The 19,147-nt window shown below is 43.9% G+C and overlaps 1 protein-coding gene and 1 non-coding gene across 11 annotated transcripts in view, besides 5 other annotated features; both read right to left on the reverse strand.

Moving 5' to 3' along the window:
* The window catches only part of LIMA1 (LIM domain and actin binding 1), a 107,733-nt gene that overhangs the window by 54,446 nt on the left and 34,140 nt on the right, over window positions 1–19,147 (reverse strand). For all 10 annotated transcript variants that reach the window (NM_001394893.1, NM_001394892.1, NM_001394891.1 and 7 more), the window contains 2 exons: window positions 18,400–18,541; window positions 1,432–1,477 (listed from right to left, as the gene is read on the reverse strand). In NM_001394893.1, the coding sequence (NP_001381822.1) occupies window positions 1,432–1,477; window positions 18,400–18,518 (165 nt within the window). In that variant the 5' untranslated portion in view covers window positions 18,519–18,541. The remainder of the gene's footprint in view (window positions 1–1,431; window positions 1,478–18,399; window positions 18,542–19,147) is intronic.
* Window positions 2,136–2,185: an enhancer, noted in NCBI's record as "active region_6352". NCBI's record gives its function as "activates an Ori minimal core promoter by ATAC-STARR-seq in GM12878 lymphoblastoid cells {active_cell/tissue: GM12878}" and the evidence as "EXISTENCE:reporter gene assay evidence [ECO:0000049][PMID:35858748]".
* On the reverse strand, window positions 3,909–3,979 carry MIR1293 (microRNA 1293). Its single transcript, NR_031625.1, has one exon. It is a non-coding gene; the product is annotated as a microRNA 1293 (primary transcript).
* Window positions 4,282–4,421: a silencer, noted in NCBI's record as "silent region_4449". NCBI's record gives its function as "represses an Ori minimal core promoter by ATAC-STARR-seq in GM12878 lymphoblastoid cells {active_cell/tissue: GM12878}" and the evidence as "EXISTENCE:reporter gene assay evidence [ECO:0000049][PMID:35858748]".
* Window positions 4,623–5,124: an enhancer, noted in NCBI's record as "H3K4me1 hESC enhancer chr12:50628639-50629140 (GRCh37/hg19 assembly coordinates)". NCBI's record gives its function as "activates a minimal SCP1, AML or CMV promoter by ChIP-STARR-seq in naive H9 embryonic stem cells {active_cell/tissue: H9 hESC(naive)}" and the evidence as "EXISTENCE:reporter gene assay evidence [ECO:0000049][PMID:30033119]".
* Window positions 5,125–5,624: an enhancer, noted in NCBI's record as "H3K4me1 hESC enhancer chr12:50629141-50629640 (GRCh37/hg19 assembly coordinates)". NCBI's record gives its function as "activates a minimal SCP1, AML or CMV promoter by ChIP-STARR-seq in naive H9 embryonic stem cells {active_cell/tissue: H9 hESC(naive)}" and the evidence as "EXISTENCE:reporter gene assay evidence [ECO:0000049][PMID:30033119]".
* Window positions 16,737–16,786: a silencer, noted in NCBI's record as "silent region_4450". NCBI's record gives its function as "represses an Ori minimal core promoter by ATAC-STARR-seq in GM12878 lymphoblastoid cells {active_cell/tissue: GM12878}" and the evidence as "EXISTENCE:reporter gene assay evidence [ECO:0000049][PMID:35858748]".

Below are 19,147 nucleotides of genomic sequence, written 5' to 3' on the forward strand. Positions count from 1 at the left end.
CATCTTGGCCAGGTTGGTCTCCCAACTCCTAACTTCAGGTGATCTGCCTGCCTCGGCCTCCCAAAGTGCTGGGATTATAGGCGTGAGCCACCGCGCCCAGCCATACTGACACAATTTCTTTATTGTCTGTCTTTTGCACTAGAATGTAAATTCCACGAGGGCTGGGATGTAGTCTGTGCTTGGCATGTAGTAGGTGCTCAGTGAAAACTTGTTAAATGGATGACAGTGAAGGGAAGGAAGAAAGAAAGGAGCAAGTTGGGGGAAAAACAGAGGCAAGAGGGAAGGAAGAAAAGAAACCAGCAGTTGAGTAAAGTAATGGTAGTTTTTTCTTTTTTTCTTTTTCTTTTTTTTTGAGACAGAGTCTCGCTCTGGCTGACTGCAGAGTCAAGCTGGAGTGCAGTTGCGTGATCTCGGCTCACTGCAAGCTCCGCCTCCCAGGTTCACGCCATTCTCCTGCCTCAGCCTCCCGAGTAGCTGGGACTACAGGCGCCCGCCACCACGCCCGGCTAATTTTTTTGTATTTTTAGTACAGACGGGGTTTCACCGTGTTAGCCAGGATGGTCTCGATCTCTTGACCTCGTGATCTGCCCGCCTCGGTCTCCCAAAGTGCTGGGATTACAGGCGTGAGCCACCGCACCCGGCCAGTTTTTTCTTATAATGCACCAGAGGAGACCCATTTTTTAATTACAGGAAAATGAAGCCAAGGACCTTAGCCTTAGAACAAATTTACAGGAACATATTATGCACTAATTTAAATAGGTTAGCTACTGAAAACTGCCAGGAGGATGTTTTTGTAATGCCATCCGAATTAAGGAATTATTGACCAAACATATGAGTTTTTTTCCTCACAAGATTAAATCAAGTAAAATTTCAAAAGACATGTATTATTCAGCCTCACCGGAAGTTAGCAAGCACGGAGACTAGAGAACGGGTAGAAGCAGAGAGTTTATTCTGGAGGTTTTTGTCTTTGGTAGATCCTGCAGCTAGGAAACTTGCTAACTAGATTGGGTCAAGAAGTTTGCTTTAAACAAAAAACCCAGAAGATGACAACAGCTGCACAGCTACTACCATTTAAATGCACAGATGTAGAAGTTCTGATTGTCTGATTTGGAAAAAAGGAAGACCACCTAGGAAACCCTGTGTTCTCATTTGAGTAGAAGCCATTTTACTAACCTCAGGCAAGCATTTGGCCTCTTGTCCTTCACTCAACACAGGAAAGAAAAAGTGGTTCAAAAGGAGAAAAGCAGTGAAAAAATAAGATTCCCTGCACTAAGCCAAGTTGTCCTGAGCAAATGGCTCAGAGATCACACCAGCTGGCACAAATGTCCACTCAGCTGACATAGAACCCAAGCCCCACAGAGGCTGCAGGTGGCTTGGCCACACAATTCTGCTCAAGAAGTGCCACATGCCCTGGAATTTCTGAATACTTACACTTCTCTTCTTCTCCATGTTTGTTTCTTCAGCTGCTTTCTGGTACCTTCAGAGAAGGGAAGGAAAGAATGTCTCAAATTAAACTTATATTTTTACTCTTTCAATTTTTTATCTTTTTTTGAGATGAAGTCTCACGCTTATTGCCCAGGCTGCAGTGCAGTGGTGCGATCTCGGCTCACTGCAACTTCTACCTCCCGGGTTCGAGTGATTCTCCTGTCTCAGCCTCCAGAACAGCTGGGATTACAGGCACCCACCACCATGCCCAGCTAATTTTTGTAGTTTTAGTAGAGATGGGGTTTTACCATGTTGGCCAGGCTGGTCTCGAACTCCTGACCTCAAGTGATCCACCTGCCTCGGCCTCCCAAAGTGAGTGCCCAGCTTTTTTTTTTTTTTTTTTTTTTTTGAGATAGGGTCTCACTCTGTTGCTCAGGCTGGAATCCAGTGGTACAACCATGGTTCATCATGGTTCACTGCAGCCTTGACCTCCCGGGCTCAAGCAAACCTCCTGTCTCAGCCTCCTGAGTGGCTGGGACTATGTAAGTGCACACCACCACACCTGGCTTAATTTTTTTATTTTTGTAGAGATGGGGTCTTGCCATGTTGCCTAGGCTGGTCTCAAACTCCTGAGCTAAAGTGATCCTCATGCTTCAGCCTCCTAAAGTATTGAGATTACAGGCATGAGCCACCAGCCCGGCTACTTTCTTTTTTCTTTTTTTTTTTTTTGAGATGGGATTTCCCTCTGTTACCCAGGCTGAAGTTCAGTAGCGTGATCTTGTCACACTGCAACCTCCGCCTCCAGGGCTCAAGTGATCCCACCACCTCATCCTCCTGAGTAGCTGGGACCACAGATGCACACCACCACACCTGGCTAATTTTGTATTTTTCGTAGAGACAGGGTTTCACCATGTTGACCAGGCCAGTCTCAAACTCCTGAGTTTAAGTGATCTGCTGGCCTCAGCCTCCCCAAATGCTGGGATTACAGGCATGAGCCACCAGGCCCAGCCCCCCAGCCACTTTTAATCTTTAAGAAAACCAGTTCTGGGCTGGGTGAAGTGGCTCATGCCTGTAATCCCAGCACTTCAGAGGCCGAGGTGGGTGGATCGCCTGAGGTCAGGAGTTCAAGACCAGCCTGGCCAGCATGGTGAAACCCCACCTCTACTAAAAATACAAAAATCAGCCAGGCATAGTGGCGCACACCTATAATCCCAGCTACTCGGGGGGCTGAGGGACGAGAATCGCCTCAACCCAGGAGGCGGAGGTTGCAGTGAGCTGAGATCACGCCACTGCACTCTAGCCTAGGTGACGGAGCGAGATTCAAAACAAACAAACCCAAAAAAACAGTCTGCATACCTATTTCTGCCAGCAGTTGCTTTTAATCAACTCTATCAGAAGAAGCTGTAAATCAGAGCAGACCTCACTTCCTGCAGCTATTCCAGTCATCTGCTCTGATATAACAACAAGATCCCCGTGGATAAGGTCAAATGCTGAAACAATTGGATAGAGCAGAAAGTCTAGGCTTTAAGCCCCAGTTTTGCTGCTTATTAACTGTGATCTCTGGCAAGTGACTTAATCTCTCTAAGCCTCAGTTTCCTTATCTAGAAAGAAGTTACAATCTACTTTCAGGATTGCCAGGAAGATTAAATGTAATCATGTGTAAAAACATTTTGAAATTAGTTAAGTCCATACAGCAATGCATTAATTCCAACATATACATTTCCCCTCCCATATTTATGCCTGATATCTTACAATTGTTCTCAGCCAAATGGTTGAGAGATAGTCACATTGCCTGTACATGTTGAATTTAGTGTAAGTTATTGATATTGTCATTTTAACTCAGTTAAAAGTATTTGATGGTACTACATGGTTTTGTTTTGTTTGAGACAGAGTTTCGCTCTTGTTGCCCAGGCTGGAGTGCAATGGCACAATCTCGGCTCACTGCAATCTCCGCCTCCCGGGTTCAAGCATTCTCCTACCCCAGCCTCTCAAGTAGCTAAGATTACAGGCATGTGCCACCATGCCCGGCTAATTTTTGTATTTTTTACTAAAGACAGGGTTTCACCATGTTGGCCAGGCTGGTGTTGAACTCTTGACCTCATGTGATCCACCTGCCTCAGCCTTCCAAAGTGCTGGGATTAAAGGCTTGAGCCACAGCACACAGCTATTATTATATGTTTTAAATGCCACTTAAAAATGTCTTTTAAAAGATCATACTATGTTTGGCATTTAAGGAAAAATTATTTTACATATGCACAAGAGTGATATGTGAGAAAAGTTTGTAATAAGCAGTGATTAGTTTAATCAGCATTTTTTCTTAGAGATGCAAAAATAGTGGCACAGCTATAGTTGATGACATCTTAGATTTCATAAATAATTATTTGTTATTACTTTTATCATTTTGTCATTTTTATTACTTGGATTGGAAGACCTCTGAGAAAAAAATTAAAGTTCTTTTCAAGGAGGAACAGGTTTTCTCCATTTAAAGACTAAGTGGTCCGGAGATTTGTGCAGGTACAAGCTGCACAAATCTCCAGACCACCCAGAACAACCTTTTTTTTTTTTTTTGAGACAGAGTCTTGCTCTGTTGCCCAGGCTGGAGTGCAGTGGCACGATCTCAGCTAGCTGCAACCTCCGCTTCCTGGGTTCAAGTGATTCTCATCCCTCGGCCTCCCAAGTAGCTGGGATTACAGGCATGCCCCACCACACCTGGCTAATTTTTGCATTTTTAGTAGAGACAGGGTTTCACCATGTTGGCCAGGCTTGTCTCGAACTCCTGGCCTCAAGAGATACGCCTGCTTTGGTCTCTCAAACTGCTGAGATTACAGGCATGAGCCACCATGCCTGGCCCTAGAACAACCTTAACCTGGCTTCCTCCAGACCTCTGAGTCATGCATTGAAGTCAGCACCACCACGTGGAGAATCACCATTATGTGCCTCTCCTTGGGCCTGCCTTAGCAGAACTCAGCCCCACCCCTAGAAAAGGGCACTGTCCTCTGCCTAAAGGTAGAATTTCAGAATTCATGAGGCATTTGGAGTAGGAGGTAAAAGAAGAAGAAAAAAAGCAGCCTCAGGCCTGGTGCAGTGGCTCACACCTGTAATCCCAGCACTTTGGGAGGCCGAGCTGGGCGGATCGCTTGAACCCAGGAGTTCGAGACCAGACTGCGCAACACAGTAAAACCCTGTCTCTACGAAAAATACAAAAATTAGCCAGGTGTGGTGCACGCCTGCAGTCCCAGCTACCGGGGAGGCTGAGATAGGAGGATTCCTTGAGCCAGGGAGGTTGAGGCTGCAGCGAGCTACGATCATGCCACTGTACTCTAGCCTGAGCTACAGAGTAAGACCCTGTAGCTTGCCTTGACCTCCAGGACTCAAGCAATTCTCCTACCTCAGCCTTGCAAGAAGCTGGGTCTAAAGACGTCTACCATCACACCCGACTAATTTAAAAAAATTTTTTTTAGTATAGGGTCACGCTATGTTGCCCAAGCTGGTCTCAAACTCCTGAGCTCAAGTGATCCTCCTGTCTCAGCCTTTCAAAGTGTTGAAATTACAGGCATGAGCCACCATGCCCAGCCAAGAAAGAGTATTACATAAAGGGTCTTCCAATCCTATCACTTTTTTTTTTTTTTTTTTTTTTTGAGAAGGAGTCCTGCTCAGTCTCCTAGGCTGGAGTATAGTGGTGTAATCTCGGCTCACTGCAACCTCTGTCTCCCGGGTTCAAGTGATTCTCCTGAGTAGCTGGGATTACAGGTGTGCACCGCTATGCCCGGCTAATTTTTGTTTTTTTACTAGAGACGGGTTTCACCAAGTTTGCCACGCTGGTCTCGAACTCCTGACCTCAAGTGATCCACCAGCCTTGGCCTCCCAAAGTGCTGGGATTACAGGTGTAAGCCACCGTGCCCAGCCCCCAATCCTATCACTGTCTAATTTTAATAATCAGATATTAACAAGCATCTCAGTCGCCATGTAGTACTGCTCTGCAATTGAGCAGAACTCTCTAATGGGGTAGGGTAAAAGGGCTACCAAAAATTTCTGGCACTTCGTTGACCATAACTAGGAAGAAAGTGGGATTAGAACTGCTGTGATTCAATTGACAAGCTGAAAATATATTTGCAACTTATATTACAGACAAAAAATTAATTTCCCTAGAATATAAATAACTACTAATAAGCAGGAAAATGACAACTGAATAAATAAAAAGGCAGATATAAACATACTGTTCACGGCTGGGTGCGGTGTCTCATGCCTGTGATCCCAGCACTTCGGGAGATGGAGGTGGGTGGATCACCTGAGGTCAGGAGTTGGAAACCAGCCCCGCCAACCTGGCAAAACCCTGTCTCTACTAAACATACAAAAATTAGCCAGGCATGGTGGTAGGCACCTGAAATTCCAGCTACTAGAGAGACTGAGGCACGAGAATCGCCTGAACCCGGGAGGTGGAGGTTGCAGTGAGCCGAGATTGCACCACTGCACTCTGGCCTGGGTGACAGAGCCAGACTCCATCTCAAAAAAAACAAAAACATACAGTTCACAAAAAGAACATCTCATGACTCTTAAACAGAAAAGATGTTCAACCTCAAAATGCAAATTCAAACAATGCTAACAACATTTTACCTATTAAGTAGGAAAATATTTTTTTTTCTTTTTTTTTTTTTTTGACATGGAGTCTCACTCTGTCGCCCAGGCTGGAGTGCAGTGGCGTGATCTCGGCTCACTGCAACGTCTGCCTCCCAGGTTCAAGTGATTCTCCTGCCTCAGCCTCCCAAGTAGCTGGGATTACAGGCACGCACCACCACACCCGGATAAGCTTTTTGTATTTTTAGTAGAGATGAGGTTTCACCATGTTGGCCAGACTGGTCTCCAACTCCTGACCTCAGGTGTCCGCCTGCCTCAGCCTCCCAAAGTGCTGGGATTACAGGCGTGAGCCACCGCACCCGGCCGGAAAAGATTTTCTTAAAAAGCTAATATGCAGGGGGTTCCCTTTCTCGGCTTGGAGTCCTTCTCCCTCTGTCTCTGTATGGGGAAGCTGCTTCTTCCGTCTTTCTTGCCTATTAAAGACTCTCTGCTCCTTAAAACCACACACACACACACACACACGCACACGCACACAGCTAATAAGCTAATATGCAGTTGGGTTGGGTAGCTCATGCTTGTAATCCCAGTAATCCCAGCGCTTTGGGAAGTGGAGGCGATAGGATTGCTTGAGGTCAGGAGTTCGAGGCTGCCGTGGGCTGTCATTGTACCACCGAACTTCTGTTTAAAACAAATAAACAAACAAAAAAGGCTAATATGGGACATTGGTGAGGGTATGGGGAAACAGGTTCTGTCTTACATTGCTGGTGGGAAGGTAAATTGGTAAAACCTTTATAGAAGGCATTTTGTCTATGCCTTCTTTAATATCTGCCAAAATTATAAAAGCACAAATGTTATAATTTACCAATTCTTTCTGCTCCCAGAATTTGTCCTATAGATACACTAAAAAAAGATTTTAATATTGGATTATTTATCATAGCATTAAATATAACAGCAAAAGACTGAGAACAACCTGAATGTCCGTTAGCAGAGGAGTGGTAAATTATAATGTATATGTATAATGAAATACTGTGCAGCAACAAAAGGACAAAGGGAAGGTGGTAGTGATTGTACAATAATATGAATGTACTTAATGCCACTGAACTGTGTTCTTAAAAGTGGTTGGCCAGGTGCAGTGGCTCACGCCTGTAATCCCAGCACTTTGGGAGGCCAAGGCGGGCGGATCTCCTGAGGTCAGGAGTTTAAGGCCAGCCTGGCCAACATGGTGAAACCCCATCTCTACTAAAAATATAAAGATTAGCTGGGCATGGTGGCTCATGCCTGTAGTCCCAGCAACTCGAGCGGCTGAGGCACGAGAATCCTTTGAATCTGGGAGGTGGAGGTTGCAGTAAGCTGAGATCACACCACCGCACTCCAGCCTGGGCAACAGAGTGAGACTCGGTCTCAAAAAAAAAAGAAAAAAAGTGGTTAAAATGGTAAATTTTATGTTATATACTGTGTATTTTACCACAGTTAAAACAAAACAGTATGATACTGGCATAAAGACAGATATACAGACCAATGGAACAGAACACACAGCCCAGAAATAAACCCTTACATGTATGGTCAGATAATTTTTTGACAAGGGTGCCAAGACCATCCAGTGGGGAAAGGAAAATCTTTTCAACAAATGGTGCTAGGAAAACTGGATAGCCACATGCAAAAAAATGAAATTGGACTACCATATACAAAAATTAAGTCAAATGGATCAAAGACCTAACTATAAGAGCTGAAACTATAAAACTCTTGGTTGAAACATATGGGAAAAGTCTCATGACACTGGATTTGGCAATGATTTTTTGAAATTTATTTTTTGTCGTTTTTCTTTCTTATTCTTGTTTTTCTTATTTTTTCATCTTATTTTAATTTTTTATTATCTTTTGATCATCTCATCATTACAAGATTTGGTAATGCCTTATTGGAATACAACACCAAAAGCACAGGCACAAAAGAAAAAACAAACTAGACTTCAGTAAAATTAAAAACTTTTCTGAGGCTTGGCATGGTGGCTCACACCTGTAATCTCAGCACTTTGGGAGGCCAAGGTGGGCGGATCATGTGAGGTCAGGAGTTCAAGACCAGCCTGGCCAACATGACGAAACCTTGTCTCTACTAAAAATACAAAAATTAGCCAGGTGTGGTGGTGGGCACCTATAATCCCCGCTACTTGGGAGGCTGAGGCTGGTGAATCATTTGAACCCAGGAGGTGGAGATTGCAGTGAGCCGAGATTGCGCCACTGCACTCCAGCCCTGGCGACAAAGCAAGACTCTGTCTCAAAAAAAACAAAACAAAACAAACAAAAAAAGACAAAAAAAACTTTTGCGCATCAAAGAACACTATCAACAAGCCGGGTGCAGTGGCTCATGACTGTAATCCCAGCACTTTGGCAGGCCGAGGCAGGTGGATCACTTGAGGTCAGTCAAGACTGGCCAACATGGTAAAACCCCGTCTCTACTAAAAATATAAAAATTAGCTGGGTGTGGTGGTGGGTACCTGTAATCCCAGCTATTGAGGAGGCTGAGGCAGGAGAATCGCTTGAACCTGGTAGGTGGAGGTTGCAGTGAGCTGAGATTGCACCACTGCACTCCAGCCTGGGCGACAGAGCGAGGCTCTGTCTCACGAAGAAAAAAAAAATCATGAAGAAAAAAAAAAAGAACATTATCAACAAAGTGAAAAGTTCCCATGGAGTGGGAGAAAATATTTGCAACTCATATTTGAGTTTTAAGTAACAAAAATGAGATAATGTGATACATACTATTCTGCTTCTCCCTTTCTCCATTTCAGAGAGAAATTCAGAGAAGCTGACATTTTCATTCGAGAAATACTTATTGCTGTCTACTATGTTCCAAGCACTAGAGAAAAAGTAACGAAAGAAATAACCAAAACAGACATAATATCTGCTCTCCGATGCTTACAATTTAGACACTAAAAACAGAAGCACACAAATATACATACACATACACACACACAGAGTGGTAAGTCCTTTGAAAAAAAAGAACAGGGTATTATTAAATAACAAAGGAACACAATTGAGAAAGGAAGAGGAAATCAAGGAAAGCCTCACTTATATTAATTAGCCTGATTTGATAATTCTACAATGTATTCATGTATTAAAACATCACATTGGCTGGATGTGGTAGTTCATGCCTGTAATCCCAGCACTTTGGGAGGCTGAGTCGAGTAGATCACTTGAGGCCAGGAGTTAAGACTGGCCTGGGCAACATGGAGAAACCTCGTCTCTATTAAAAAGACAAAAATTAGCCACCAGGCACGTTGGTGCACACCTGTAGTTTCAGCTACTCGGAGACTGAGGTGGGAGGATCGCTTGAACCTGGGAAGAGGAAGTTGCAGTGAGCCAAGATAGCACCACCACACTCCAGCCTGGGTGATAAAGCGAGACTCTGTCTCAAAAAACAAACAAAAAACCATCACATTGGACCCCATACATATGTAAAATTATTCTTTGTCAGCTAAAAACAAATGGATGAGTACGATGGCTCAAGCCTGTGATCCCAGCACTTTGGGAGGCCAAGGCAGGCCAATCACTTGAGCCCGGGAGTTTGAGAAAAGCCTAGGCAACATGGCGAGACCCCATCTCTTAAAAAAAAAATAACTAGCAGGGCTTGGTGGCATGCGCCTGTAGTCCCAGTTACTCAGGAAGCTGAGGTGGGAGGATCACCTGAGCCCAGGAATTTGAGGATGCAGTGTGCCGTGATGGCGCCACTGCACTCCAGCCTGGGCAACAGAGTGAGACTCTATCTCAAAATAACATAACATAACATAACATAACATAACATAACATAACATAACATAACATAACATAACATAAAATAAAAAATTTTTAAAAGGAGCGCCTCACTGAGAAAATGACCTGTAGGCTGAGATGTGAAGTTTGACCAGATGAAGTTAGCCAGACAAAAGGAAGGGAGGAAAGCATACCAGGAACAGAAAAACACCATGCATAAAGGCCTCAAGGCAAGAAAGTGTCTCATGTATATAGGGTGCACAAAGAACTCTAGTGTTGCAGAAGCTCACTGAGAGGGGAAAGGGCAGGCAATGAGGCGGGAGGCAGGGATGGGCCATGCAGGTAATGCTAAGGACTTTGAATTTAATGGTAGGATGGTCACTGATTCAATTCGTGTTTTTAAAGAGTGCTCTGGAGTGTGGAGAATGGACTGGAGGGGCTGAGAATGGAGGTGGCATTAATGAGAGATAATGCTGGCTGGGCTGCAGAGATAATGGCACTAGAGATAAAGAAAAGTGAATAGATTTGAGATATATTTCGAGAAAGAATCAGTAGGGTAGTAATCAGATGGGGAAGAGAGAATGATTCCTAGGTTTCTGGCAGCTGAGTCAATGGAAGTAATGCTTCCTGGGACGAGGAATTGTGAAAGAAGAGCAAATTTGGAAACGGGGAAGATCAAGAGTTCAATGCTAGCCATGTTAACTAAAACATCCATTTGGTGGTAGCAGTGATGAGATGCATGTGTCCGGAGCTCAGAAGAAAGCTCTGAGCTAGTTGTATGCATTTAGAACTTGCGTGCCCATGGATGGTATTAAAGCCACAGGAGTAGATGACATCTGCAAGCAGTGTGTAGTGTGAGAAGATGCCTGGAACTCAGTCCTGGAGACTCGAACATTTCAGCAGTCAGAACAAATGATAAGAGAGACTGACAAGGAAGAGAGAGAGAGGGAGGAAGAAAATGATGAGACTGCCAGAGAAGCCAAGAGAAGCAAAAATGTGGGAGGGAAAAAGTGGTGAGAGTTCATGTAAGATAAAGGCCAAGAAACATCCCTTTGATTTAGCAACATGGAAGTGTTTGGTAATCTTGACAATCCTCTCTCATTATAATTAATTCACCCATATTCCTTTAATGGGCATTTGGATTGTTTCCAGTTTTTCACCATTGCAAATAACGCTTTGGGGAATGTCCTTTTACGTATATTTTTCCCACTTGTACTAATATATCTGTCTAAGAGATTCCCTAAAAGTGAGAATTCAGGGATACAGTGGATTGTAGCTATTATAAAAAGGAACTTAGAACTGGCCTTGAACTTGCGTTTCCACACCCCTTGGATAATCATCTACAGTATATTACAGCAATAATACAATATATGAAAACTAGAACCAATTGGCAGACAGGTTTATATTTAGCCAACTGTTCTCCAAGGCAAGGTATTTACATTGTGGTTAGTTGAGTAAATAAGCTCAGAGGTTCCCTTCCCTTTAGTGTCTAATAGAAACATAGATTAAAAAAAAATCAAAATAGTTCCCATCTTTAGCCTTGTCCTTTTAGCATGGAGGCATCTGTAAGACCAGGTGTATACACCAAAGGCTGTCTTTAATCCTGTTCTCAAACCCCTACTCAAATATCTCCACCTTTTATTTGTAATGAAGTTCCTGCTAAATAGTAGATAACAGGGAGAAAGGCTCTACACCACCTCTTTCTTCCAAGTTAGATCCCTGGTACTTTTATATTTTGTACTCTTAGATTGCCACAAGACTGAGGCTCAATACTTCTGAATTCCGTGTTCAGGCCTCAGACTTTTCTCAGAGGCCCTTACAGCAACTAGCATTCTTCTGACACAAAATGTGAAGGACACAAAATGGGGGCACCATTTTGAAGATCCAAATTTGAGAAAATAAAACATTTACAATAAAATTTCTGTAATTAAAATTTTGTTCCTCTTTCCTTCCCAGATTTTTTTTTTTTTTTTTTTTTTTTTTTTTTTTTTTTTTTGCGGTCCAGCCTCCTTTTCTTTACATAAGGAATTTAATCTTGCAACAGCTCACTAATGCTCAGCTGTGGGGCAGGCAGCTGATGGAGGACGCTAAAATTATCTGGGGAGTAATAACAGTGTCTCAAATTTTTCTAGGGCCAGAAAACAGAGTTCCTGAGCCATGACTCTTGCTTGTATGCCCTCAAATAGAGCAAAGGGAATGCTGAGCCAAAAAGGGAAAACAGAAACTCCCAAGGTTTAAGCAATGTATTTTCTTCTGGAAAAATTTCACCACTAAAATGTTACAGAGAAGCGAAAGAAGAGGAAGTTAACCAGGCTGACTTGAAGGTCAATTTTTTTCTTATTGAAGGAAGAATAGTCACAGAAAACTAAATATGAACGCTCTTTGTTTTTTTTTTTTAAGATAGGTTCTCACTCTGTCACCCAGGCTGGAAGGCAGTGGTGCAATCATAGTTCACTGCAGCCTTGAGCTTCTGGACTCAAGTGATCCTCTCTACCCGGCCTCCTCCTGTTTCCTGGAACTAGGAATGGGTAAAGTTATAACAAAAACAGGAGAAGCTGTGATAAGGTAGAGGCATGCTGGCAGGGGGTTAGGTTAGGGATCTTCATGCTGTGATCATCAATTCTACCATCTTGGTGTATGACCTTCAGTCATAATTGCTAATCCTCAAGCTCCTAATCTGTCAAAGGAATAGGGCAAATGCTAGCCAGACCAGTGGTTTCAAGCTCTGCTAGCTGCAGAACCCTCTCTTCAAATGCTGTCTTACGCAGAACCTAACCTTTACAAGGGATCAAAGCAGGATTGCTGGAATGGAAAATCTAAAGAGCTGGGCCTGGGATCTGGGACTGGGATCTGGGCCTGGGATCTGGGCTTGGGTTTAGCCCTTAGGGTGTTCCAGTTGTTGGAGAACTGGCCCTGAGATTCCTCTGAAGACTTCAATTAAGATAGTTTAAAAACTACCAGGCTAGATTCTCTTTAATTCCAAAAATGTATGAGTCAAACAAATTCCACCCAAAGAGTCAACTGTTATCAAATGAAGGATCATATTATGCTGAAGTCAGTGGTGAGTGAAACCAAAGCTAGCTATTCAAATGGATGTATCAATAGGAACTTCTTACCTCAAATTTAACGACTGTTATAGAGGCTTAGTCAGAGAAATAAGCCTGCAGCTATAAAGGACCATGGGACACAAGCTCTGATGCTAGAAAAAGTACTCTTCTATACATATAAACACAAAATGCACTGTTAACAATTAGAAAGTAAAGCTGACTTATCTACAAACATCAGCTAGATTAAGCTTCCTCCAAACAACAATTTCATATTAATCTCTGATCAGAGACCTCCTAAGTTTTCCTACTGTTTTTAGCTAGGCTTGTATAGGACTCACTATTTGCAAACCCCATAAATATAAAGCCACTAGGTGTTGGAAACAGACATTAGTATATGCTTTGTGGAAAATAGTCCTGTAGTCTACAGCCATACCACCCTCAACGCGCCTGATCTCAACTGATCTCGGAAAATAGTCCTGCAGTCTTCTTTGGGAAGCTGCAGTGAGTGAACCTTACAAACCTTAAGTAATATTAGCAACGTGTTTCCACTGAGTATAAAACCTAGAACAGAAATCCAGGCTGATTCCCTGGTTTTCACTCCTTTCAGTATATACCACCACCTGTCCTACTTCTATGCCTTTACCTCCTGTTGCTCCCCTTCCTCTGGAATGTCTTCAGCATTCTCCAAGCCTACCAAATAACTCTATTCATCTTTCCAAACCAGTTCCATGTGTTAAGCACATCAGAAGAAAAATATGTGACAGGAACAAACTCAAATATTAACTTCAGCAGGTTACTTCCTTTACCTCAGTTTTCTCAACTATAAAAGAGGGGTAAAGCCCCTTCCTCATATAGTTTTTGTTAGGATTCAAAATAGTATATATTTTATATATTTCTTTTTTTTTTTCTGAGACGGAGTCTCACTCTGTTGCCCAGGCTGGAGTGCAGTGGCATGATCTTGGCTCACCACAACCTCCGCCTCCCAGGCTCCAGTGATTCTTCCACCTCAGCCTCCCAAGTAGCTGGGATTACAGGCACGCACCACCACCGCCCAGCTAAATTTTTGTATTTTTTTGTATTATTATTATTTTTTGAGACAGAGTCTCGCTCTGTAGCCCAGGCTGGAGTGCAGTGGCGTGATCTCGGCTCACTGCAACCTCCGCCCCCCAGGTCCCAGTTAAGCAATTCTCCTGCCTCAGCCTCCCGAGTAGCTGGGATTACAGGCATGGGCCACGATGCCCAGCTAATTTTTGTATTTTTTAGTAGAGATAGGGTTTCACCACGTTGGCCAGGCTGGTCTTGAACTCCTGACCTCGTGATCTGCCCGCCTCAGCCTCCCAAAGTACTGGGATTACAGGTGTGAGCCATTGCGCCCAGCCATTTTTTTGTATTTTTAGTAGAGATGGGGTTTCACCATGTTGGGCAGGCTTGTCTTGAACTCCTGACCTCAAATGATCCACCTGCCATGGCCTCCCAAAGTGCTGAGATTACAGGCATGAGCCAGCGTGCCCAGCCAAAATAGTATGTGTTTCTATCAAGGGTCTAGCATGGTGCCTGGCACACTGATTGTAATTAATGGGTTCAGGATTGACAGTTTTGCAATCCTTTCAGCCTTCATGGAGAAAAGACAGTGAACCCAGTATACCATGAGAAGGACCTGTGAGATCCCTCTGCACTTTCTCTCTGCAAGATTAAGAAGGCCCTAAAGATGAAGCCTTTTCCAACCTCTTAACTCTCCTTAGTGCTACTATAGGACCCAAATCCTAATGAGAACTGGCTGGGCTGGACAATGACAGAATAGAGTGGTGAGAAAGGCACTGGGGAAGAGGTGAGAGCCTCACTGAAGTGACTGAGCTGGGCAAGGAAGAAAGTGAGGCCAGGAAGGGGACTGACATCCAGGGCTGGGTGTCCTGGTGAGGTCAAAACACAGGGTCACTGGGAATAAGAGTTAAACAAGTGGAAAAACAGAAGGCTCCAATCAAACAGTAGGTTCTCCAAATGCATCATTTCAGAGAAGGATTCTGAGTGATAGGTTGAGACGGGAGGCAGAGGCATGGGAGACAACATGCAGGTTGCAGAAACAGGGAAGATCAAGAAATTATGAGTCCAGGTTGGGCACAGTGGTTCACACCTGTAATCCCAGCACTTTGGGAGGCTGAGGCAGGAGGATCGCTTGAATCCAGGAGTTCAAGACCAGCCTGGGCAACATAGTGAGACGCTGTCTTTACAAAAATAAAAAATTAGACGGGCATGGTGGTGCATGCCTGTGGTCCCAGCTACTTGGGAGGCTGAGGCAGGAGGACTGCTTGAGCCTGGGAGGTCGAGTCTGCAGTGAACCATAATTGCACCACTGCACTCTAGCCTGGGCGACAGAGTATGACCCTGTCTCAAAAAAAAAAAAAAAAGAGAGAGAGAGAAAAAGAAAAGAAATTATGAGCCCAAAGTATCAGACAGGTCACTGATGTGGACCCAGTGATCCTTTAATGAGGACACCATTGGTGCCAATGGCCCTGGGGGACATTTAGACACATGTGTTAGAATCTTGTTGGGTTTTCTCCCCTATCACTTTTTTTTTTCTTTTTTGGTTGTCACAATGTCATGGGTTCATTTAGAGGAGGGCATGATGATGAATACCCTGCATGGGGAAGATCTGCCTTACCCCAAATGCTACAGCACCCCCAGTGAGAAACACTAAAAAAAAAAAATGATGCTAGAAGCCAGCGTCCCCTGGAGGCTGGCACGCCACTGCAATGAAGGGGAGGATAACAGTGCATTATAGTTAGATGTGAGCCTGAAAGCACATGTCTAGAACTTCAGAAGCAGGCATGAGAAACAATGAATGGGAAACATTATTGGAGATATAGAAGAGTAGCAACCCTGGCCCCCAAAATATTTCAGGGAAGCATGTGCAGAAGGAGCAGGCAGCCAGGCCGGGCGTGGTGGCTCACGCCTGTAATCCCAGCACTTTGGGAGGTCGAGGTGGGCAGATCATGAGGTCAGGAGTTCAAGACCAGCCTGACCAATATGATGAAATCCCATCTCTACTAAAAATACAAAAATTAGCCGGGCATGGTGACATGTGCCTGTAATCCCAGCTACTCGGGAGGCTGAGGCAGGAGAATCGCTTGAACCCAGGAGGCGGAGGTTGCAGTGAGCTGAGATTGCACTATTGCACTCCAGTCTGGGTGACAGAGTGAGACTCCATCTCAAAAAAAAAAAAAAAAAAAGAAAGAGCAGGCAGCCACTGCTCAAACACAGAATGCATGTCATGCATGTCAAGGGAAAGCCAAGTTTAGTTAAAGACAGGTGGGGCTAAGGAGGGTGAAAAGGGTAAGAACGTGGAGAAGTTTCTGTGCAGGACAGGGAGTTTCCAAGTCCCATAATCACATCTCAACACCGTCTGATATCCTTCCCTTTCTCTCTATTCCTGTTCCCCCTTGACCCCCAACAGCTTTCACTTGGGTTCCCAAGAGAGCCTCATAAATTGTCTCCATGTTACCAATCTCTCACCTTTCTAATATAGCTTTACACTGTTGCCAGAAGGCTTTTTCTAAAATACCGGTCTGATCATGTCACTCTCCCCACATGAAAACCAATTGCGTTCCCTGGTTTTCTTACTAAATCCTAACCTTAGCAGAGCATCCGAGGTCTTCCATCTGGCCCTAAATGAATTACACCAGTTCCTTCTCCCTTCTGTATTTTTCCATGGCAGACTGCTTGCTTTCCTATTCCCTTTATTCGTGTTCAGCTTCCATAATCCTTTGCTTCAATCTCCTATCTTAGACTCGACTCATTCCACTTCAAGCTCACTGCTTTGACTCCACAAGTCCATCCCTTCCACTACCAGTGCTTCTTAAACTTCCCTGAAGGTAAAAATTACCTGGGATACTTGTTAAAAACATAATTTCCTGGACTCTATCCACACATACTGAATCAGAATATAGGATGATTTTAAAACATGTCCAGGCCAGGCACAGTGGTGTGTGCCTATAGTCCCAGCTACTCAGAAGGCTGAGGTGGGAGGATTGCTTGAGCCCAGGAGTTTGAGGCTGCACTGAGCTGTGTGGTCACACCACTGCACTCCAGCCTGGGTGACAGAGTGAAACCCTGTCTCAACATTTTTTTTTTAATTAAAAAAATTTAAAATGTCCAAAAAATTCTGACATTCCTCCTATCAGAGAAGGTGGAGTCAAATTGCCCTTCCCCGAAATGAGTCAGCTTTAGTGACTCACTTCTAATGAAGTGAATGTGGTAAAAGTGATACTGTATGACTTCCGAGGCTAGGTCATAAAAGGCAACACAACTTTGAACTCCCCCTTTTCTTCCCTCCTTCCCTCTGTCTCTGGATGATTGCCCTGGGAACTGAGCCACCAAGCCAAACAGCCACATGGAATGGCCATGTGTAGGTGTTCCTACCATGGCCCCAGCTGAGATCCCAGATGACAGCATCAACCGCCTGACTTGTGAGTGAGCCAGCCTTTTGATGATTACAGCTCCCAGCCTTTGGGCCACCCTGGCTGATGCTAAGTAGAGCAGAGATCCTGCCCAAACTGGAGCTTCAAAAGCAAAATAAATGCTGGAATTATTATTATTATTATTATTATTATTATTATTATTTAAGACAGAGTCTCGCTCTGTTGCCCAGGCTGTAGTGCAGTGGCACGATTTCAGCTTACTGCAACCTCCGCCTCCTGGGTTCAAGCAATTCTCCTGCCTCAGCCTCCTGAGCAGCTGGGACTACAGTACAGGCATGTGCCACCATGCTCGACTAATATTTGTATTTTTAGTAGAGACAGGGTTTCACCATGTTGGCCAGGCTGATCTTGAACTCCTGACCTCAAGTGATCCACCCACCTCGGCCTCCCAAAGTGCTGGGATCACAGGCATGAGCCACCGCGCCTGACCGGATGTGTTCTAATGAAGTTTTATTTACTAATCAGCAGCCAGTGGGCTGTAGTGTGCCTGTGTAGGTTACACTTTTCAGCAGAACTTCGTGCAATGATGAAATGTTTCTGTGCTGTTCAATACGACAGTCACCAACAAGTAGTTACTGAGCACTTGAAAAGTGATAAATGCAGCTGGTAAACATTTAAAACTAAATTTTAAATGTTATTTAATTTTAATTAACTTAAACTGAAATAGCCACCTATATAGTGGCTACCACATTGGAAAGTGCAGGTATAGAGAGTGCTTAACGCACCATTCAACCAAATCAAAACTCGCCTCAACACTCATCTCAACCAGAAAGCCTTCCTGATGAGCTCCTGTCTGTGATGCTCTGTCTCTTATTCTGTACCTAATCCTCACTCCTATTCATTTTAGACTTGCTGATATTTTGCTTTATAATTATTTCATAATTATCTTTTTTAAAATAATTTTTGTGTCTATAACTGTTTCTTCCACAAACTAAACAAAAATTCAAAGAATAGAATGTATCTTCTGATTATTACCCTCCTCCTCCTTCTCCACAGTACCTCATATAGTGTTTAAAATCCACGAGGCGCCCAATAAAATTATTTTACATTATGTACTTCCTTCACCAATTTCCCTGACAGGTGGCAATGTGTGCTCCAGACAGATGGTCCTTTTGGACCAGGATCAGCACTTACTTGGAGAATATTTCCACAATAGCCGATGACTTGTTCTTGTTGACAAGAGAAAGTTCTTTGGCTGTTACCCTCAATGATAGTGAGGTCCATTGCCGTCTATTAAATGGAGATGATTCCATCTTGTCTACAGACACTGAAATACCTATGCAATAAAGAAAGTCAGAACATTAGACACAGAAGAGGATTCTCCAACATCCAAGGATTGGCAGTGGTGTGGTAGAGCCCTAAACTTGCAGACCACACTCCTCCACTGTTCTCCCCCAAACTGTGTAACCTTGGTCAAATGATCCAATATCTTTGGGTTGTGGTTTCTTATAAAAGGAGGCTACACCAGATGACCTTTAAGGTCCCTTCCAGTTCCATTTTATGACTGACCCCACTGTGCAAACATCAATTGGCCTTTCCCTGAACTGAAGTCTGTTCCAAAGTCACATTTGGAGTGAAATGTTTCCCTCTTCTGAATTACATCCCAGGGGAGGTACAGTCAGCATCTCAGTAGAGCCAGGTCCAAATTAGTTTCTACCTACATTCAAGTTTCTTTTGGCTGCCCTCTCTCCCCAAGCTCTGCAGCACTGGCCACTCAGTGCCAGGGAGAGAGCTGGGGGCGCAGCGTGGTGTAATAGGAAGAGCAGGGCTTTAAGGTGAGACAGACTTCGGGGAAATCCTAACTTTGTTACCTTGAACATATTATGTAATATTTTCCATTTCACTTTCTTCAGCTAAAAAATAAGGATAATATCTATCTTTA

The sequence above is a fragment of the Homo sapiens genome, chromosome 12 (assembly GCF_000001405.40).
Source record: "Homo sapiens chromosome 12, GRCh38.p14 Primary Assembly".
NCBI lineage: Eukaryota > Metazoa > Chordata > Mammalia > Primates > Hominidae > Homo > Homo sapiens.